This window comes from Homo sapiens, chromosome 3 (genome assembly GCF_000001405.40).
Source record: "Homo sapiens chromosome 3, GRCh38.p14 Primary Assembly".
Classification (NCBI taxonomy): domain Eukaryota; kingdom Metazoa; phylum Chordata; class Mammalia; order Primates; family Hominidae; genus Homo; species Homo sapiens.
Genome location: NC_000003.12, coordinates 13,149,024 through 13,171,051, shown reverse-complemented (window position 1 = coordinate 13,171,051; position 22,028 = coordinate 13,149,024). Strand labels below are relative to the sequence as shown.

The following is a 22,028-nucleotide window of genomic DNA, read 5'->3' as shown; positions in this document are numbered from 1 at the left end:
CTCCAGTCTCTGCAACCTCCGCCTCCTGGGTTCAAGCTATTCTCCTGCCTCAGCCTCCCAAGTAGCTGGGATTACAGGCACTCACCATCATGCCCGGCTAATTTTTTTGTATTTTTAGTAGAGATGGGGTTTCACCATGTTGGCCAGGCTGGTCTTGAACTCTTGACCTCGTGATCCACCCACCTCGGCCTCCCAAAGTGCTGGGATTACAGGCGTGAGCCACCGCGCCTAGCACAAGGCTTTCTAAAGACTCCAAAAGGCTGCTGGACCATCTTTAAATACTGTTTGACTCTGGCACCCATTGCATTGCCTAATAGCTGGCTGCCGTGTCTCTTATTTTTATTCTTGCTTCAAAGCTAATAGCTTATGATATAAAGACCCAAATATTGTGGTGAAAACCTCCTACTGGACTAGAGCGGCCCTCTTGGTTGGCTGCATTACCCTGGCGCTCTGGAAGCTCCGTCCCTGTGGTTTTGCAGGGTACAGCCTCCCTCCCGGCTGCTTTCACTGGCTGGCATTGAGTGTCTGCAGCTTTTCCAGACACGTGGTGCAAGCTGTTGGTGGATCTACCATTCTGGGGTCTGGAGGACGGTGGCCTTCTTCTCACAGCTCCACTTGGCAGTGCCCCAGTAGGGACTCTGTGTGGGACTCCCTTCCACACTGCCTAAGCAGAGGTTCTGCATGAGGGCCCTGCCCCTACAGCAAACTTCTGCCTGGGCATCCATGCGTTTCCATACATCCTCTGAAATCTAGGCAGAGGCCCCCAAACCCTAATTCTTGACTTCTGTGTACCCTCAGGCTCAATGCCACATGGAAGCTGCCACAGCTTGGGGCTTGCACCCTCTGAAGCCACAACCTGAGCTCTACATTGGCTCCTTTCAGCCATGGCTGGAATGGCTGGGAGGCAGAGCACCAAGTCCCTAGGCTGCACACAGCTTGGGGACCCTGGGCCTGGCCCACAAAACCATTTGTTTCTCCTAGGCCTCTGGGCTTGTGATGGGAGGGGCTGCTGTGAAGACCTCTTGACATTCCCTGGAGACATTTTCCCTATTGTCTTGGGGATTAACATTCGGCTTCTCATTACTTATGTAAATTTCTGCAGCCAGCTTGAATTTCTCCTCAGAAAATGGGTTTTTCTTTTCTATCTCATTGTCAGGCTGCAAATCTCCCAAACTTTTATGCTCTGCTTCCCTTAGAAAACTGAATGCCTTTAACAGCACCCAAGTCACCTCTTGAATGCTTTGCTGCTAAGAAATTTCTTCCACCAGATACCCTAAATCATCTCTCTCAAGTTCAAAGTTCCACAAATCTCTAGAGCAGAGGCAAAATGCTGCCAGTCTCTTTGCTAAAACATTACAAGAGTCACCTTTGCTCCAATTCCCAACAAGTTTCTCATCTCCATCTGAGACCACCTCAGCCTGGACTTTGTTGTCCATATTGCTATCAGCATTTTGGGCAAAGCCATTCAATAAGTCTCTAGGAAGTTCCAAACTTTCCCACATTTTCCTGTCTTCTTCTGAGCCCTCCAAACTGTTCCAACCCGTGTCTGTTACCTGGTTCCAAAGTCGCTTCCACATTTTTGGTGTCTACAGCAGTGCCCCACTCTACTGGTACCAATTTACTGTATTAGTCCATTTTCACACTGCTGATAAAGACATATCTGAGACTGGGAAGAAATAGGTTTAATGGACTTACAGTTCCACATGGCTAGGGAGGCCTCACAATCATAGCAGAAGGCAAGGAGGAGCAAGTCACATCTTACGTGGATGGCGTCAGGCAAAGACAGAGCTTGTGCAGGGAAACTCCCCCTTATAAAATCATCAGATCTCATGGTACTTATTCACTATCACAAGAACAGCATGGGAAAGACCTGCCCCCATGATTTAATTGCCTGCCACTGGGTCCCTCCCACAACACGTGGGAATTCAAGATGAGACTTGGGTGGGGACACACCCAAACCATATCACCCACCCTGAGTTAATTTTTGTATATGGTGAGAGATACATGTTGTTTTAAAAGAATTTTGCAGGAACTCTATAAGGAATATGGTGATAAATAAGACAGATACAGTACCTCCTCTCATGGAGCTGACGTTCTATTAGGAAAGACAGACAATAAGCAAGTAGACAAATAAGACAATTTCAGATTGTCACATGTTCACAGGAGGATGAATGGGGTAATATGGCAGAGAATCTGGGGGGCCAGGGGAGGGCTATTTAGATAGGAGGGATACCAGGAAGGCCTGTCCTAAGAGGTGGTATTTAAAGTAAAATCTGAATTAGAAGATGGAGCCACTGAAATCAAAAGCCAGGGACAGGACAGATCTTCCAGGAAGACGGAACAGCAATGCCCTAGAGCTGGTGTTGGGGAGCTTGGCTGTGTGAGGGCAGAATGAAAGGGTGTGGCTGCAGTGGGGAGCCGAGGGGAAACTGGAACCCTAAGAAGGTGGAGGACTGAGCAGGGCCAGACCTTGCAGTCTTTGTGGGCTGTGTGTGGAGTTTGAATTTTGTTCCAAGGGCAGACTGCTGCAGAGTGAAGGTAGAGGAACCTGATTTGGACTGGGGAGCTGCTGAAGGCCTCATGGATGAGGCCCCTGAGATGTGCTTATGATCCGTGTTAAGTGAGGAAGACGGGCATAGACTGATGTAAACTGTCATTTCCACTGTATAAAAAAATGGACAGGAAACAAAGCCCATAAGCATACATGCAAAAATGTGATAGCGATTACCTCCAGGTGGTAGGATTAGAGATGATTTTTACTTGTTTTTCTTACGCTTTTCTACATCACGCCATATAAGAAAAATAATCGTGGTGATTTGAGAACTTGAATTTGGATCAGTCACAGCACTTAGTTGCAGACAACAGAATCTGCTCTTTCTAGTTTGAGCTAAGGGGGATTTATTTCCATGTATTTTGACTCAGAGTCCAGGACCGAGCTTGGATGTCCCATAGCCAGGAACAACACAACCTGGACCATCACCTAAATCCACCTGACTGTTGCCATGGAAACCCCACTGCCTGTGAGGCTTAAACCTGGAAACTGGAGCCAATTGCTTTGGGAGAACCAGAAGCCTGTGTTCCCTTCCAGCCGGGAGCTCATTTCTCCACCCTGCTGCTCATGCCCACCTTCTCAGTCTGGACAGGCCTCTGCCCAGAGAAGCTGAGAACATTTGCAGAACCAGAGCTGCAAGGGCATCTGGGAAAGGTAGATTTCAGTTTTCCAGAGGTTCAAGTCCAGTGAGCATGGAAGGAGGGGCTGCACACATGGCGAAGGGGGCAGTCTGCAGGTTCCACTGCAGAAGAGGAACCAGAGCGACAAACACTATCACTTGAGCCTTGGCCGTCTGAAGGCCACCTGGAGAAAGGCTTGGTTATCCTCTATGCTCTTGTGAGGACAGCCAGAGACTCTCCTTGTCCGGGGAGCACTGGCTGTCTGAGCCTCTTGCTTTTGCCCCCCCAAGTGCCACCAGGCTGACGTCCACCTGTCAGCACCTCCCCTTCCTTGCCTGGGGGAGCTCCTCGGCCACCTGTGAGGCAGGCTGATGCGTGCAGACTTCTCCTCCCCAGGAGCAGCCTTCAGCCACTCCCAGCTGCTTCGGCCCTGGTATAAGATTGCTGGAGGCAGCTTGAACTGGTTTCTAGGGCTCCCAGGTAAACTGAGCCTCAGCTTCCCACAGTGGTGGATATAGTGAGGTGCTGGGCAGCTTGATAACAGCCATTGTTAGCCCCCTTCTCTTTCTCTTCTCACCTCCCTAGCCCTTCTCTCTTCTCACTTCCCAAATAAACTCCTAGCTGAATCTTTATCTCCAGGTCTGCCTCAGGGACAGCCCATGCAAAAGCATCGGGGATCATCCTGTTCCTAGATCTCAGCTTCATCTGCAGGAACGAGAAGGCTCCAGGATGCTCCTGACCATCTGCTTCTTTGCCCATGCTGAGTGCCGCCATAATCATAGGCACACACACACGCACATACAGGCACACCCACATACAGTGTACCACACACGTACACACATGCACACATGTTTGCACATGCACACACGCACAGGCATCCTCCACCCCGGGGCTGCCCAGCCCCTCTCGCTTTTCTCCCCACATTATTGCTCCTTCGGCCATAGGACGGGCGATGTTATGCCAGGGGCTCCAGGGCATCCTCTGCATGTGCCATCCTTGGTGTAAAAGATGACTCCACTGTGTGTTGCTGTTGGAGTGTGGGTTCTGGGTCAGTGCAGTCCTGGCTTCCCACAGCAGACACTTCCTACAGCCTGCTCAGTGCCAGGCCCCAAGCTGGGCTCCAGTGTGTGGGAGGCACCATCTCCTCCAGATGTTCCTTCCCTGCAGGCCCCCACAGGTCAGCACATCCTCAAACCACACCTCGGGTAGGTGGTGAGAGAAGCAGCTTTATTCATCAGCCTCTGTGCTGGGAATGTACTTATCTCCTCACCACATTTTAGGGGCCAATTGTTGCTATCATCCCTAATCCGCAAATGAGGAAACTGGGGCTCATGGAGATTAAGTGACTACTGAGGCCACCTGGAAGCCAGTAAGGGATGAAGCTGGGCCTGGGACCCAGGAGACTCTGATGGCTCAGGGTCAGTGCTTGTCCCCTGGCGTCCCAGAATGTGGAGCTCCTGGCGTGACTGCACTGCTATGCCTCAGCCACATAACAAGCACTGGAGACCCTGCAGTGAATGTGACAAAACCCTTACCCTTGTGGCATTTTCGTCCTACTGAGGCAGATAGATCCTAAGAGACATAAATAGAGAGCTTCACGTGGTCCTGAGTGAAGGCCACAAGACAGAGATCTGGGATAGAGGCGCAGAGCAGGAACTGTGTGTTAGCTATCAATTACCATGTAACAAGTGACCCCAAAAACGTAGGAGCTGAAGACAGCAAATGCTGATGGTCTTGTGTTCTGTCCTGCTGAATCCATAGTTGGAGTTACCCTAAGAGCAGAGGCAGGGGAGTTTCCTGTAGGAGTGCCCCAAACCTTCCTGAGCTGGAGCCAGTTGTCATTCCGAAGAAAGGATCCCTGAACGCCTGGGTGACCAGTCCACAGCATTTATTAGGGAACTTACACACATAAGCCTGTGGTGTCATTGCCATGGACAGCGAGAAAGGAGCTGCCTACTCAGGCATGTCCGTAAGCGGGGCCCGGTTGCACCCTGTGTTTCTTGGTCAGCGCACAGTGGACCAGGGCACCCTACCTCTCCCTTTCTGAGGTCAGAAATGCAGGAACAGTGTGGCTGGTGGCTCTGCCTCTGGGCCGCTCATGTGATTGCAGTCATGATGTTGCCTGGGGCTGCAGCAGCGAGGGGTGGAAAATCTGCTTCTGGGCTCACACTCATGGTTGGTGGCAGGGGGCTCAGGTCCTCACCACCTGGGCCTCTTCCAGAGGGGCTGCTCACAGAACAGGGCAGCCGGCTTCCCCAGGGTGAGCAACCTAAGATGGCGATGAAGTGAAGACAGACAGACACACACACACACACACACACACACACACACACACACACACACGCCACCCCCCCACCCCCCACCCCCCCGCTTGCTTTCTTTTCTGTCCTGGCTATGATCAAATGGAAAACAAAAACAAAAAATAAGAACTTTCAAAAGCTGCTCCTGGGATCTCCTCTCCCCATCATCAGGCTTCCTGGGAATTCTGTGGAGGGTCTTCAGCCACCAGGGGCTGGTCTGCACCTTGTCCCATGGCCCCCGGGGTCAAGGAGATGCCACAGGTGTCTGTGCGCCATTCCCATCTCACATCACCACTTCACCTGCTGCCGTGGGGACCATGTGATCCAAGTTGCTGTGCATTGATGCTGAATTAGAATTGCTGGAGAGGGAGACCAAGGTCCTTCTAGAACAAGGGGTGTGCACTCAGGCACCTGGAGCACACATTGCTGGGGACTACCTGCCTTCTGTCTCATTTGCTACTGGTGAGCGCGACCAGGCTGGGCAGCACCAAGGGAGGCCGGGTCTGAATCTGTGGGCAAGCTTGGTTCAGTGGGAAAGGCATCCCCTGGGGCTTTCTATGCTGAAGGGTCGTGCAGCATGTGCTCTGACTTCCGTTCTGGAACGTTACTGAAAAGGCAATGAACAAAAAGACAAATCTCTGACTCTGGGTTAAGTAAGTTTTTATTTCTCTAGCTCTCTGGCAATAAAATCCAATTTGGGACATCCAGGGATTAGATTCCTGAATGTGTTTGCTCAAAGCCCTTTGCTCCTTCAGACCCAGGAAGCCCAAGCGAGGCTTTAGCCATCAGCTGCATGGAGTTTAATCCCAAAGTCCCTTTCCTTTGGTGTACAGAGCAGGAAGGCATCACTGTCAATACCGCGTAGTCACAGTCTTCGTGAAAGTTCAAGTGCGCAATACAATCTGATTGTCCAATTTCTTGACATTCAAGGTTGTCTCCTTTGTAATATGGTTGTAATTGATTTCTGAGTACTTGAAAATAGAGCTGGTTCTGGGGAAATAACACTGGAAATACCAAGTAGGGGATGCAGTGAGGCCAGTCGCACCGCTCTCACTTATTCATTCATTCATTCATTCACTCATTCATTCATTTAGTTGCTGCCCAGGTCAGAGTTCTGGAACCATAGACCCCTCCTCTGGCTTTGCTCTTGACTCCTGGGGTGTATTCAAATCCTGGGAAAACAATTGCAGTCAAGGTGATGGAAACAGGAAGAGGGTGGGAAAGGAACCCTAAGACTTCTAAGAAGAGTGGACTTTCTGAATACAGTTCCAGGTCAAAGGAACAGCAGCAAGAGACCCCGGAGGATTGGGCCTGCGGATGTCTGCTGAGGCTGGGGAGGGGATGCTGGGAGCAGCTGGGGCCTCAGGGTCCCCACATCTAGTGTCGTTGTGCAGGTCTCCCGGAGCAGAGGGTTCTGGGCTCTAAGCGTGTGCTCTTCTCGTTGCAGGTCTGAAGGAGAAAGCTCGCGGAGCGTCAGGTATGTGCTTCATCCACCTCTGTCCGTGTGTCTGAATCCTGGCGGTGAGCGGCGTTGATGAAACCATGTGCTTTGATTTCTCCCTGCGGGTCTCCCAGGTCAGACCTCTCCTCCCCTGGCTGCCCCCTTCAGCCCTGGCGTGTGCCCCAAGGGCCTGGGCATGATCTGCAGAGCACGTCTGTTGGCTCTGCATCCTGGAGCAAAAGCCCTTCCCAGCTTCCCTGTGTTTAGAGTGACCTCTGCAGAGATCACCTAGGTTGGTGGTTGTCCCTTCCTTTCTGGGGCTGGTGATGGCCCAGTGTGCCAAGGCTGTGACCCGTCTAGGACCAGAAACTTCTATACCTGACACCCCTGGGGCTGGGCTGGGCGGGGTCAGGGCAAGTCTAAGATGCTTGGTGGTGGGCCCGGCTCTAACCAGCCTCTAACAATGCAGGGGTGTCTCCACGGCAGGCGTAATGCCCCTGCCCATCCTCGCCCCACCAACCGAGGGTAGGTGGGGGTGGACATGGAGTGGGCTTTCTGCCAGAGGCTCTGACTGAACCTAGAAGAGGGTCTGGTCTGAGACAGTACCTGGGGTGTCAGTGCCCCAGCCACGGGGCCTGAGGCCCAGCAGTTCTCAAGGCATGAGCTGGGGGACCAAGAAGGCCATGGTCATGGGAGATGGGGGTCAGCATGGTGAGGCTGGGGATGCGAAGGAGAGGCCAGGAGGCAGTTAAGAGCCCACGGACCCCCAGTCCCCTCTGGCAGCAGATGGACTTCCAGGTCTTAGGGTGGTGGCCTGAGGTGGCTGGTTTGTATTGTGATGTTACAGGCTGGGGAGATGAGATGTCCTGAGCTTGGCCGTGAGGATGCCAGCTGGAGTGGGGTCCTCCAGGTGCCTGCAGAACAAGAGACAGATCTGGGGGAGGCTGCATCCCAGGGAGCCTCTTGGGTGGCAGCACAGGGGGTGCTGAATCTTATACTTGGGGCAGTCGGCTATGTGCTTGGAGCAGGGGACACTGGCAGGGAGTTGGGCTCCAGGGAACCAGAGTCCAGGGAGTGAGAGGCAGGGTCTCGCAGGAAGCAGAGGCATGCTCAGAAGGGGAACTGGAGAGAGAGAGGGTCCCAGAAGGACTGTGTGCAGGGGTGAAGCCCAGGTGAGGGGACTAGCTGGGGATGGTGCACTTGGGCTGGCAAGAGTGGGAGCTAAAGGGATAAGGGGGGGATGCCCGGGGGGATGGATGGACAAAGGCTAGGGTCTGGGGATCCGAGGGAGGGGGCAGCAGGCCCCTTGCAGCCTGAGGTGTGCACCGCCACATGGCTCCACCCTGGAACACAGCGTGGCCCTGAGGAGGAGGAGGGGAGACTGCCCTGGTGCACGATGGAGAAAGCTCTGGAATGTACCATTAAGTGAGCAAAGCAGGGTGTGAGAGTACACATCTCACACTACTTTGGGTAAGAAAGGGCAGGTGTAAGTACGTATATTCTTATTTAATTTGTCAGCAAAAAGAAGCAGGAAGGAAACAGTTGTCTCTTAAAATGGTCCCTTCAGAGGGAGGGCAAGGGGCAGGGCCTCCAGTGCCTGTATGCTTCCTCAGGGCAGACCTAGGAATATTCCTGAGGGTTCTGAACCCTGTCAATGTAATACTTGTTCAAACAATTAATTCAAAACAACAGGTTAGGGAGAGGGTGGGTTGCCAATCCCTGGGGCTGGCTCTGAGGTGGAAGGGGATTCCCACATGGACTCGGAGGGGCTGCAGGCTCAGGAAGGAGATGGCCTCGCAGCCTCTCAGGCCCTCCCTGGCCTGCCTCTCTGGGCTCCTTTGGGATCTAAGCTTCCCCCAATCCCCCCAAGGTGCCCTTCTCCCTCTGTCTTCCAAGAAGGCAGCTGCTTACCTGAAACCCTCATTCTGTGAAAGTTCATGGTGGGCAGCGGGTCCCTTACGGGGTCGCCCTGAGAACAGCCTGCTCTCACTGGTGACCTGAGCGGGGGCTAGTGAACATGTAGAGTGAATACACCCTCGTGGTGGGGATCTGGTCTGCCCCAGCCCCACCCGGCCTGGTGTTCACTCCAGCGGATCATCAGGAAAGCATTTGCCAGGCAGGCGCTGTGGAACCCAGCCCTGGGGGAGGAGGATGGGAACGACATTTCGGTGGGGGAACAGCATGTGCAGGGACCCCAGGAGTGAGCATGACTGGCTGCCTGGGGAGAATGAGGAATGGCCTCTGCGTTGCAGGGGGACTGGCACACAGAGCCGAGCATATGTCCCAGCTCCGAGCCACACAGCTCCCAGCAGGGTGCACAGACAGGAGAAGCCGGGCAAGGGAGATCGCGGATGGAAGTTCCAGCAGGGAAGGCTGTGTTTAGTTCTTCCAGGGCTGAAGAATCCAGCCCCAAAATGCCCTGCCGTGTGGACATCGCAGTAGACAGTGTTGCTGAGGCTAAGATGCTGGGGTCAGATGTGACTCGTCATGGCTTTACCTGCCCTGGCCCGTTGTCCCCATCATGCACAGGCATTGTGTTTCTTCCCATGCAGCTGACGACTTGGCTGCCAGGCCTATGTCATGGGTCACACCCTTCCCCCAGGAGCTGGGCCTCCCTTTTCTCAGGACCAGAGGTCCCAGATCATTCAGATCTACCCTGCCCCCACCCTCTGGACAGAGAGTCACCAGATCTGGGCTTCCAGAGCAGTGTCCGTGCGGGGTCTGCGTCCCCAAACCTGGGATCCTGACTGCAGTTCTCTCTGAGCGCTTCTACCCTCTCCAGACCCGCTAGAGGGGAGGTTGGAAAACTAAAGTGTGACCACGGCCCTCCCCCGCTTCTCCTCCCGCACTCCCCCTGGGCTGACACACTGTGGCAGTGGCCCTGGTGGTCCCTGGACGCCACACCCCTACCAGCGCAGCTGCGCTTCCACAGCCTTCCCATGCGCACCTCCAGCTCCCACCAAATGATGCCACTCGCCTTTCTAAATGCGGCCCATGATTCCTGCGTGCCTGCCCCCTGCTGTGTGTGACTCAGGATGTTTCCTATGTTTAGAAAATGCTCCACTCCACCCCCCGAAGATCCCTTCCTTTCTCAGAGCCCCCATGGCAGCTGCCTTTCTGGAGCTTTCAGGGGAGCTGGGGCTGACAGGGTGGCCTCCTGGTTGTCTCTGTGGCCTTTTATGCTTCACTTTTGATATCCCAGTCCCTTCTGCTTTGTGTCCAAATGACTTAAGCATTTGTCTTTCCTCTCAGGCAGAGGAAGACCCCCAGGACAGGGATGAGGCCCCTGAGTTGTGGCTCGATGGTGCCAGCACCTGTGGGGCACAGAACAGGCACCCAGGGGGTGTCTGTGCAGTGGATTCATCTTGGCCTTGCTGGGAGCCCTGGGCAGGATGCCTTGCACAGAACAGGCACATGTTCATGTGTGTTTGATTGGACTCAGGACTCATAAATATTTTCAGGCCAGAAACCAGAAGGAAGAGGAAAAATGGACCACTCCCATGCTCAGTGGAGACTGCCCCCGCAACACCCTCCCCTTACCAAACACTCACTAAAATTAATGGGCAGAGATTCTGCACTTGAAAAATCAGTGAAGCTGTGTATGGATTTTATTTGCCTAAGGAAAATATGACTGACCTTGAGAGCTCATGGCTTGTGCTAAATATTAAGGACACACAGGGGCAGGGCTTGGGGGCTCACACTTGTAATCCCAGCACTTTGGGAGGCCAAGGCAGGAAGATCATTTGAGGCCAGGAGTCCAAGACTAGCCTGGGCAACATAGCCGGACCCCGTCTCTACCAAAAATAAATTTAAAAAATTAAGGATAGCCCTGAGAGACACCTCCTCCCCACCAGCTCTTGCCCTGCCCCAAGGTCCCTGCTTGGTGAGATTCTTGTTCTTTAGACTCAAATGATCGGAGTTGCCACCTTTCTGGTTTGCTTTTCTTAGCCTCCGGAGCAGCAGGGAAGTGCTTTTGCATGGAGAAGCCTGTTTGTGAATTCACGCTCACTACTTTCCCCTGAGGCAAAACATTTGCAAGATCAGATATATTCATTTTCCACAAATGAAATGACTCATTTTTTGACCATTTTGCAAATGTAGGACTTTGCTCATTGTTCCCCGGGAGGATGTGTCTGCTTTTGACTCCACTAAGAGGAAGGCTCTGGAGGCCCTCAAATGTGAATCTTCTAATGATTTATTTATGGAAGAGGGACCATAGGAAGAGAAGAGGTTTGTGGAGTTTGGAGTCTGCAAAAATGAATGACCGGGTGGAGGGTCTAGAGAGAATGTGGATACTGGTTTGAAAGTGCCAGGGCTTTCTGCAGGGTGCAAGCATTATCTTTTTTCCCCCAGCACTCCGTCAAATCCTTGAAATTAACTCAGCTACATTCAGTCATAGGAATAAGTTCCATTCAATGAGTTCTCACTGTGGGTGGGGGTCTCACCTCATCTGCACAACCACCCGCACCCTTGTAAGAGAGTTATTATTGGCCCTTATTTTTTCAGCTCTGGGAAATTGAGGCTGAGAAGTACAAAACAGCTTGCCTAGGATGACGTGGATTTCGAGTGCAAAGGTGGGATGCTGTGCACCAAAGCCTTCGCAAGTCAGTGTCGCCTGTGGTGCTTGTTGAAAATACAGATTGCCAGGCCCTATCCCTTTCATGCCTCACTCAGTAGGTCTGGGCAGGGTCTGGGAATCTACATTTTTTTGAGATGGGGTCTTGTTCTTGTTGTCCAGGCTGGAGTGCAGTGACGTGATCTCGGCTCACTGTAACCTTCACTTCCCAGGTTCAAGCGATTCTCCTGCTTCAGCCTCCCGAGAAGCTGGGATTGCAGGTGTCTGCCACCAGGCCCAGCTAATTTTTATATTTTTAGTAGAAACAGGTTTCACCATGTTGGCCAGGCTGGTCTCAAACTCCTGACCTCAAGTAATCCGCTTGCCTCAACCTCCCAAAGTGTTGGGATTACAGGGTGAGTCACTGTGCCCAGCCTGAATCTGCATTTTAAATAAGCGCCCACATGATCTTAACAGGCTGCCTGAACATATGGTCTCTCCAAGGAAACAGAATTTCTCCAAGTATGCCAGTGTCCAGTGGCAGACACGTACCCTTCATAAGCATGAGCTGACTGAAGTGCAGAAATTTTGCTTCTAACACTTAGAAGAATTTTTTTTTTTTTGAGACCGAGTCCTACTCTGTCACCCAGGCTGGAATGCAGTGGTGTGATCTCAGCTCACTGCAACCTCCGCCTCCTGGGTTCCAGCGATTCTCGTGCCTCAGCCTCCTGAGTGGCTGGGACTACAGGCGCACACCACCACGCTTGGCTAATTTTTGTATTTTTAGTAGAGACAGGGTTTTGTCATGATGCCCAGGCTGAACTTGAACTCCTGGGCTCAAGTGATCTGCCTGTCTCGGACTCCTAAAGTGCTGGGATTACCACGCCCAGCCCTGACCTTAGAAGCATATTGCATGAGGTGGTCCCATGTAGGTCGCCTCCCCGTCAGGACTCTGAACGTTGACTGGCATTTTCCAAAGGCAACAGCAAGGCTCAGGGCTGGGACAATGAGGAGAGCCCAAGGACTGTTTTGTTTGGGGATGGTGGGGGAGATTCTGGAGACGGTGGGCCTGGTTACCAGCATTGACTCAGCTGGAACCAAGATGTGTGAGTAAACGTAATTAGTCCAAACAAATCCAGTTTTCTGTCTCCATACCAAGGCAAAGCAGCCTTTGTAATTAACTGGGCCTTTTTCCCCAAACCCAAAATGAGAACACACAGTTTATTTTGTTCACAAGGAGGTATGAAAACTGCTGAACGTGGCAGACAAAGCTGGGAGTGTTTGCTGTGCCAGGTAGACAGAGCTGAACTCTTTCTCTCCAGGAAGGAATGGGAGCAGGCTCCAAATGTGAGAGACGGGCTGGGGCTGGGCCGGGTCCCTCTGCCGCTATCCAGCCATGTTTTGGAGGTGCTGGACTGAGGGCTGAGCCGGCGGCCTCTGGAGGCGAGTGGACATTTCTTAGCACGGTGGAATCAAAAGAGTACAGACACTGGGGGCAGATAATCTTGAATTCAAATCCTTTCTCTTTGTCTTACCCTCATGTCACTATGCAACAGCCCCTGAGCTCTCCAAGCCTCAGATTTCACACTCATTTAACAGTCTTCATTGAGCACCTACTGTGTCTTTGTGCTAACTACTAAGGGTGTGAAGACCAATGAGATACAGTTAATTTCTGCCCCATGATGAAATCGGAGCAAAGACTTTAGCCTCAAGGCCATGGACCAATTAAATGAGGCATAGATGGAACAGCACATGCCATGTCATAGCATTCAGTTAACATCCATTTCCTTTCTTCTCCCTCTGCCACAGTCTGTGGAGACGCGGCTGCTCAGAATCCTGAGGGAGGGTCTGAGGCAAGCCCATGTTTACATGAGCAGGAGGTGGTAGCAGCTGCTTGTAGAGTGTGCCCTTTTGGCTGTCCTCCTTCCTTCCTTTGCTCCCCTGGGTTTATGATTGAGATTTCTTGGGCATTCTTGACTGTGGTGGACTTTACTTTTCCATCTCCTTGACTCTGTGCTGTATCCTGAGCAATTTCCTCAGGATGGTCTTCTAGTTCACTAGTGCTTTCTTCAGCTGTGTTCATTCTGCTGTGTGGCCTATGAATTGTGGGTCCCTGAGACCCTTGAATGGCCTCTGGATACCCTCAGCCTGCTTTCAGAGGCACTACTGGGCCTTTCTTTACACGGGAAGTAGAAAGATCTTATAGGAGCCACATTGAAGTCACTGGGCAAAAACCTATCTGACTGGGTGTATTTTGCGTTTTGATTTGTTTTCTGTGAACTTGTGTAGAGAATTAATAACTGACTGTTTAGAAGATGAGGCAGAGATATTGGTGTGGGGGCAAGGGAGTCTACTAATGGGGAATTAGACTAAATCCCAAAATACATTTGGTAAGCCTTGTCTAAACATCTGCTTCTATTGCAACCAAATCTTAAAGGTACTTAGAAGGTGGTGACACAATGTGTATGTGTGCATCTGACCCAGGTCCAGTGTTTGGGACAGTGAGGACTTTGAAACCAGGGTCTAAGCTGAATGACCTTGGTCAAATGACTCAAATTCCCTGAGCCTCAGTGTCCTTATCTCAAATGGAAATGAAAACATCAAGAGTTTTCTTGATCTTGTCCACATCTGACTCTCCATTCTCTCCTCCATCACTGTGGTCATCACACTCTGGCCTTCTGGTACCTCCATTCTTCCAAGCTCATTAGTGTCCCAGGGCCTTTGCCTGTGCTGTTCCCTCAGCCTAGAACATGCTCCCCCAGGTCTCACCCAAGATGAGTTCTCCTCAGTCCAATCCCCCTTCAGATGTCAGCTCCTCTTCCCTTATCATCTCACCTGAAGTAACCTAGCCAATCTCTGCACATCAGCCAGTTTACTTCTGTCCCTTATCTGCCTGTCCCCACTGGAATGTCAGCAGGAACTTTGTCTTATGCAGTGCTGTGCCTCAGTGCTCTGCCATGTGCCCTGGCACAGCATGCTATTTTGGTCTCTGTACTTGCCACTTCCCACATCCAAGGGGAGCACCTCTGGAAGGAGGCCAGAGCTAAATGTGCTAAGCTTGTCTGTCCACATGCCTGAATGCTCCCACTTCTGTCCCTCCATCATGCACTTCTTTCTCTTTCCTAATTGCCTATCTAGGACTTCCAATACTATGTTGAGCCCAAATGACAAAAATGACATCCTTGTCTTGTTCCTGATCTTAGCTAAAAAGCTTTCAGTCTTTCACTGCTGAGTATGATGTTAGCTGTGGATTTTTTGTATATGGTCTTCATTATGTTGAGGTAGTTTCTTTCCATTCCTATTTTGTTTAGTGTTTTTATTTTATTTATTTTATTTTTAATTTTTATTTTTTTGGGACGGAGTCTCGCTCTATCACCTAGGCTAGAGTGCAGCAGTGCAGTTTCAGCTCACTGCAACCTCTGCCTCCCAGGTTCAAGCAATTCTCCTGCCTCAGCCTCCTGAGTAGCTGGGATTACAGGTGTGCACCACCATGCCCAGCTACTTTTTTTTTTTTTTTTTTGTATTTTTAGTAGAGACGGAGTTTCTACATGTTGGGCAGACTGGTCTTGAACTCCTGACCTCAGGTAATCCACCCGCATTGGCCTCCCAAAGTGCTGGGATTACAGGCATGAGCCACCACACAGCCTTGTTTAGTGTTTTTATTATGAAAAAGTGTTGAATTTTGTCAAGTATGTTTTCTGCACCAATTAAGATGGCCATGTGTTTTTTTTCCTCTTAATTCTGGTATGCATTACAGTGAACAGTTTTTGGATGTTGAGCCATCCTTGCATTCCAGGAATAAATTCCACTTAGTCATGCTGCAGAATTCTTTTATTGGGCTACTGAATTTTGTTGCTGATATTTGCTGAGGATTTTTGCATCAATGTTCATAAGAGGTATTAGTGTGTTGTTTTCTTGTAATGTCTTTGTTTAGCTCTGGTACAAGACAATGCTGGCCTCACAGAATGATGTAGGAAGCACTCCCTACTTGAAGTTTTTGGAAGAGTTGGAGAAGGTTTGTTGTGATTTCTTCTGGAAATGTTTGGTAGAATTCATCAGTTGAAGCCATCAGGTCCAGGGCTTTTCATTGTCAGGAGGTGTTTGATTACTAATTCAGTCTCCTTATTAGTTATGAGTCCATTCAGATTTTTTATTTCTTTGTAATTCAGTCTCAGTAGGTTTGGTGTTTCTAGGAATTTGAATCATCTAGGTTATATGATTTCTTGTACAATTACTTACAGGACTCTCATATAATCCTTATATTTCTACAAAATCAGTAATAAAATTCTAACTTTCACTTCTGATTTTAGTTGAGTCTTTTTATTCTTGGTCAATCTAAGTGGTGAATCGTCAATTTTGTCAATCTTCTGGGAGAACCAACTTTTGTTTGGATTTATTATTGTTATTTGTTTACTGTTATTATTTATTGATATTATCAGTTTATCTCTGCTATAATCTTTATTATTTTCTTTTGCTGCCAGCATTGGGTTTACTTTGTTTGTTTCTTACTAGTTCCTTAAGTTGTAAAGTTATTTTGTTGATTTAAGATCTTCCTTTTTATTTAACGTATCAAGCTATAAATTTCCTCCTTAGTACTACTTTCGCTGTGTTCCATAAGCTTTGCTATGTTGTGTTTTTTTTCTTCTCCTCTAAGTACTTTCTAATTGTCCTTGTGATTTCTCTTTTGACCTATTGGTCTTTCTCTTTTGACCTATTGGTCTTTAAGAGGGTGTTGTTTAACTTATATAACTTTGTGAATTTTTAGGTTTTTCCTCTATTGTTGATTTCTTACTTCATCCCACTGTGGTCCCAGAAGTTACTTTGTAGGCTATTTTCTAAAATTGCTTGAGACTTAAATTGTGGCTTACCCTGTGGTCAATCCTGGAGAAAGTCCACATCCACTAGAGGACTCTGCGTTCTGTTGAGTGGAGTGTCCTGTTAGATCTAGTTGATGTCTTGAGTTGCTCAAGTACTCAATTCTGCTTCCTTACTTATCTCCGGTCTGGTTGTTCTATTGTTATGGAGAACAGGGTATTGAAGCACCACCTATTAATGAGTAACTGTCTAATGAATAACGGATGACTCCCTTCAGTTGTATCAGTTTTTGCATATATATATATATATATATATATATATATATATATATGCATGTAAGTTCCAGCTTCCTGGTGTGTTTCCATGTCAGGCAGTGAATCTGTGGGTGCAGATGCCCATTAGCACCCATCAGGGAGCTTCCTCCTGGGTTCCTAAGGAGCCTGAGGAAGATCCAGAAGGCCCTGCCCTTGTGCGTGTCTGGCAGCTTGGGGTGCACAGCCTTGAACATGCGGTGACCCTGCCCACTAATGATGGTGTCCAGGGATGGTCCTAGAGTTCCACCAGTCAGATAAGATTCTTCTTCCCCGCAACAAGAGAGCAGGACCAGGAAGCAAGAAGTGGGCTGGGGACAGGGTGGGAGTGTTGTGGGGACCCTTGGCTCCCCCATGTGGATTTTCTATATGCATAACAGGCCAATGTGTGGTCACCCAGTGCTGCTGTCCTTAAAATCCGTCCTCGATTTTCATCCCGTTGGCTTTGGGGCCCTCCATGCCCTGCCTCATGATGACCTTTCCACCCACTCCAGCCTTCCCCTCCCACTACACATGTTGAAGCGTCCAGTTTGCCACAGGCACACTCATACCTCCATCTCTTTGCACGTGTGGTTTCCTCTCTGGGGAGCCTGAATACCAGCCACCCAGCCAAGCTCCACTGGGCTCCTGGAGATGGCTCAGACACAGATCCCACTGTAAAGACCTCACTGCCCAGCTGGGAAGGTGAGACAAGGACAGAAACCATCTACAATCCAGAGCCACCTGTTCATAGCTACAAAGGAAAGACACGCACAGCACCGTGCATGCCCACCTGCTGCAGGAGGGGTGGGGACAGCTTCTGAAGGGGGTGGGTCTGGCAGGGCTCCATTGTCTGGGTGTGACCACAGGAATTGGCCAGGAGGCATCTTAGGTCGAAGAAAGCCAGAGTGGCAGGAACACATAGGACAGGGGTAGGCTGGGGACTGGGGCTGGGAGCAGCCCCCTTGGTGGCAGGGCAGCCCTCTATGAGTGCACTTTGCTCTGGGTCTCCAAACTGAACTATCCCTAGTTCAGCCCCGATGACTGAACTTCTGCTAATGAGACCTTCTCTCCTCTTCCAGGACCTTCAGGCCTGGCCGGCTGGACCAGGGGCTGTCTCTTACACCCCTCACCAGTCCAAGTCCACTTCCACAGGACGGGCTTGGAGTTTTGTTCTAAAGGGTAGGGGATTTGCTGGAGCAGTCCTGCAGGGGTTGCCTGCTTCAACTTCCGCTGGACCAGACTCCTCTGGCTGCTGGGCACAGGGGCTCTGGGCTGAGAGAGGAAGCCAGGAGCCCTGAGGAGGACACGGGGGTCAGCCCTGAGAGAGGAGCCCTAGCCTGGCCTGGACACTGGAGGGGAGAGGAGAGGGAGGGGAGAGGGGAGAAGGAGGGGAGAGGGAGTGAAAGGAGTAGATAGGGGAGGGGAAAGAAAAGGCGGGGAGGCATGGGAGGGAGGATGGGGGTAGGGAGGAGAGGGGACAGCCCAGAGGTATTCACTGGAAGGTGCCCCTACAGGACTTGCTTAGGGAGTGGCTGTCTCCTGAGAGAGAAAGAAAAGAACCAAGAACACTTTTTTTTCATTTGGTTGTTTTTGTTTTGTTTTGTTTTGAGACGGAGTCTTGCTCTATCACCCAGGCTGGAGTGCAATGGCGTGATCTTGGCTCACTGCAACCTCTGCCTCCCAGGTTCAAGCGATTCTCCTGCCTCAGCCTCCCGAGTAGCTGAGATTACGGCGCCAGCCACCGCACCCGGCTAATTTTTGTATTTTTAGTAGAGGCAGGGTTTCACGATGTTGGCCAGGCTGGTCTCAAACTCCGGACCTCAGGTGATCCGCCCGTCTCAGCCTCCCAAAGTGCTGGGATTATAGGCGTGAGCCACCACGCCCAGCTGGAACCAAGAACAAATTTGGATTTTTGACTTGAAGAACTGGGAGGACAGCAGTGCTTTTTACTGAGATAGAGCAGATGAGGAAGAGAGACTTGAGAGGAAAAAACAAGTGCCCTTTGAGACTCATGAAGTTTCATGTCTCAGAGAGCTCCATGGTTTCTACAGCTATTATTTGAAAATAGTGTATTAATATTTCTAAACATTCATTTAAAGCAATATGATATTTATTCTTTACTGTTTTCCCATTGATAGATCATTAAAGTTGCTTTCAATTTCAGTAATGCTGCAGTGAACATTTGGCATGTAAATCCTTGTCAGCCTCCCTGATTATTTTCTTCATTATGTTCCCAGAAGTAGAATTACTAGGTCAAAGGCTAAAAAGATTTCACAGTTTCTTAATCCATATTGCCGCATACGTTTTCCAAGAGAAGCATCTAAGATGCAGCCTCCCTGCATCCTCTCCACTCTGACTATTGCAATTGTTCTGATCCTTGCTAATTAGATATTTGGGAAATATTATTTTACTTTCAAATCTGATGCAGTATCTGTGGGGAGTCTGACTTATGAGGAATAGAACTCTCTCTTTTTTTGTTTTTGTTTTTGTTGTTGTTGTTTTGTTTTTTTGAGATGGAGTTTCGCTTCTGTCACCCAGCCTGGAGTACAGTGACTCGATCTTGGGTCGCTGCAACCTCCGCTTTCTGGGTTCAAGTGATTCTCCTGCCTCAGCCTCCCAAGCAGCTGGGATTACAGGCACCTGCCACCATACCCAGCTAATTTTTCTATTTTTAGTAGAGACAGGGTTTCACCATGTTGGTCAGGCTGGTCTTGAACTCCTGACCTCAGGTGATCCTCCCGCCTCGGCCTCCCAAAGTGCTGGGATTACAGGCATGAGCCACTGTGTCCGGCTGAAGAGAACTCTTTCTAGTGATGTAGACATGATGGTACTTCCTCCCTCCAACATGACCTTGTGGGTAGAATTCAGATGTTCAGGCCACCGAGCCTGCCCCTGTTTCGACCCTTGTCCTTTGGTGTGGGGCCTCCCCGACCCCATCGTGCTCCCATTCTGAACTTTGCTACTGTTCCCCTACTTCCCTGACCTGTCACCTTTGCATGCCAGAGAGACTCAGGGCTAGGAATGGACATCCACCAACCATTTTCCAGCAAATCTAATAAACAGCCCCTGTTGGGCCATGATTTTCAGCTGGTCCCTGAATGATGAATCACTCAGGGACCAGCACACACAATGCAATCTGTCTGACTGACACTCTGCTACAACATGCACTAGGGTTGGGAGTGACTGGGGGCAGAAGGGGCTGTGACAGGGGCTCCCGATAGCATCGTCCACCTCTCTCTTAGAGAAGCCCAATACCTGACGTTAGGTGGGCATGTGGCTGCTGAGACATAGAATTTCCCAGCCTCCTTTGCAACGAGGTTGCTGGTACAACCAAGCTGTCCTTCCAGCGTGGGAAGGGAAGTGATTTGTGTCGACTTCTGAGATATTTCCTCACAGAGACCCTTCTTTCTGACCCTGTGCCTGTCCTGCTGCTGGGGACTTCATCTCTGAGGCTGCAGCTCCATCCTGGCCCAGGAGGATGAGGGCAGCCCCCCTGGGATGACAGGGCCATGAGGGAGAAGAGCTCCCTGGCCCTGCCCCACCAGGCCAGCCCTGGACCATCTGCTTTCACACTGAAATGCCAGAGACACAAATTTCTATTTACCACTCTCAGGTGGGGCTCTTTGTCTCAGCAGCTGAGCCCTGTCTTACGCAGTACAGCAGTCTTGGAGGGCACTTTCCCACGTACTTGCCTGGGGTCAGGCTGTGCCAGGGACCACAACTGTGTGATTTTCAGCCCTCCCGCCGTGGGTGAGAGCCACACTCAGCTCCCACCCACTGTCCTCTCCAGGTGCTTGTGAGGAGATCGAATGCATGAAGGTGGAGACTCCCACTAAAAACATCAGGAGCCAATATCTTCCAGGGCACCCCTTGTTCCTCCTCCTGAACTCCTGCTGCCCCGACTCTTCCCCATGCAGGCGCTTGTTTGGAAATGTGGTGTGCTGTCTCCTTCCTGGCTGGTGTCTGCAGATTCTAATAAATAACTTGGGAACAGGCCACCTCACGCATGGTCCAACCTGCTTATTGCTAGAAAGATGGGTTTGGAACTGACAAGTTCCCTGCTAAGCTGACAAGTTTAAAAACTTAATTCGAAAAACCAACCACATTCCCTTTGCAGAATGAAGGCAAAGATCAGGACATGGTCAAGCCTCAGCCTGAACGCTCACTGTGAGGAGACAGATTTAGGACTTCCCAGGTGTCTGATCTTGTCCGTATAATTTCTTAGATGCCTTCCAGCCTATGCAGCCTGCAGTTTTGGAGAAAAGGAACTCTAATATGTATTAAAATATTAAACTTCTTGACCCTGTTGGGAAAAAGTGCATAGTCCATTTGTTCCTCATTTTTCACTCGTGTCTCTAAAGTGTCTCATCATTCAGGGCTGGTCTAGAGGTTGTGTATTAAGAGAAAATTTGAGGTGTAATAGGGCACTGCAGGTCGGATTCTTCTCCCTCCTCCCACTCTCCCTCTAGAACCAGGGTCTGGCAGGACCGTTCCCGGGAGCCTAGGGACTGTTTGTCACCCTTGCCTCACTGAGACCATCAATAGCCTGGATGATTTTTACTTTCAGTTTTCATTTCCTATAAACTTTGAAGACAGGTCATGACTGTACCCCTCAGTGATGAGAACCTGTATCATGTAGAGGGCAGGGGTCCCTCTGTGGTATCTGCACCAAGGCAGGGCAACATGGCAGTGCAGAAGGCGGAGGAGCCAGCTTTGCGGCTGGGCCTTGGGGCAGCGGACAGAGGGGAACACAGGGGTTGGGGGAGGCGGAGCTGCCAGGGCCTGGGTCAGGCAGGAGGGGGAGTCTGGGGCTTGCACACGGGGATGACACCTTCCAGTCTCACCTCCCATCACGTCCTACAGCTCCCGCCTCAATAGAGGAGCCGGATTTCCCAGGGTGCATCACCCTCCGGGCCTTTGACAGGCTGCGTCCTCCCCCGGGGACACCCTCTCCCCTCCTCCCCAGCTTGCAGTGCCCCTCGCACTTCAAGACTCTGCTCTTCGGGGGAATTTGGTCCTGTCCCTGCCTGTCCTCTGTCCGCCCCCCCACCCCGGCCCCCACGACACACTCACCCTGTCTGTGCTTCCCTCCCCTGAGTGGAATGGCCTGGGGAGCAGCCTGTCTGTGGGGAGGAGGTCTGCTCTTCAGGACGGCTTTCAAATCCTGCGGACCCAGGCTCTGTCCTCTGTGTGGCCTTGGGCAAGCCTGGCCCTTGGGAATCTGAGGTTCCCACTGTGAATGGGTCAAACAGCAGCCACCTCACAGCCCTGCTGTGCTGGATGAGCTGCGCTTTGGGATGTGGGGGGCCTGCACTCATCACTGTGAGAGGCTGCAGCTGTCAGTGCTAACCCTGGAATCCAACCCCCAGCATGGCGGGTGTGGGGACTGCCCAGACAGAGTAAGCAAGAAGGGGAGGCGAGGGGCTGGTGGTGAGGGGCAGCATTGGAGGATG

At 50.9% G+C, this 22,028-nt stretch overlaps 1 protein-coding gene across 6 annotated transcripts in view, besides 1 other annotated feature; it reads left to right on the top strand.

Moving 5' to 3' along the window:
- Nucleotides 1–22,028, top strand: part of IQSEC1 (IQ motif and Sec7 domain ArfGEF 1) — a 386,215-nt gene that overhangs the window by 112,206 nt on the left and 251,981 nt on the right. For all 6 annotated transcript variants that reach the window (XM_047449348.1, XM_047449340.1, XM_047449347.1 and 3 more), the window contains exon 2: nucleotides 6,919–6,948. In XM_047449348.1, coding sequence (XP_047305304.1) covers nucleotides 6,919–6,948 — 30 coding nt within the window. The remainder of the gene's footprint in view (nucleotides 1–6,918; nucleotides 6,949–22,028) is intronic.
- Nucleotides 9,186–9,711: an enhancer, noted in NCBI's record as "H3K27ac-H3K4me1 hESC enhancer chr3:13202841-13203366 (GRCh37/hg19 assembly coordinates)". NCBI's record gives its function as "activates a minimal SCP1, AML or CMV promoter by ChIP-STARR-seq in primed H9 embryonic stem cells {active_cell/tissue: H9 hESC(primed)}" and the evidence as "EXISTENCE:reporter gene assay evidence [ECO:0000049][PMID:30033119]".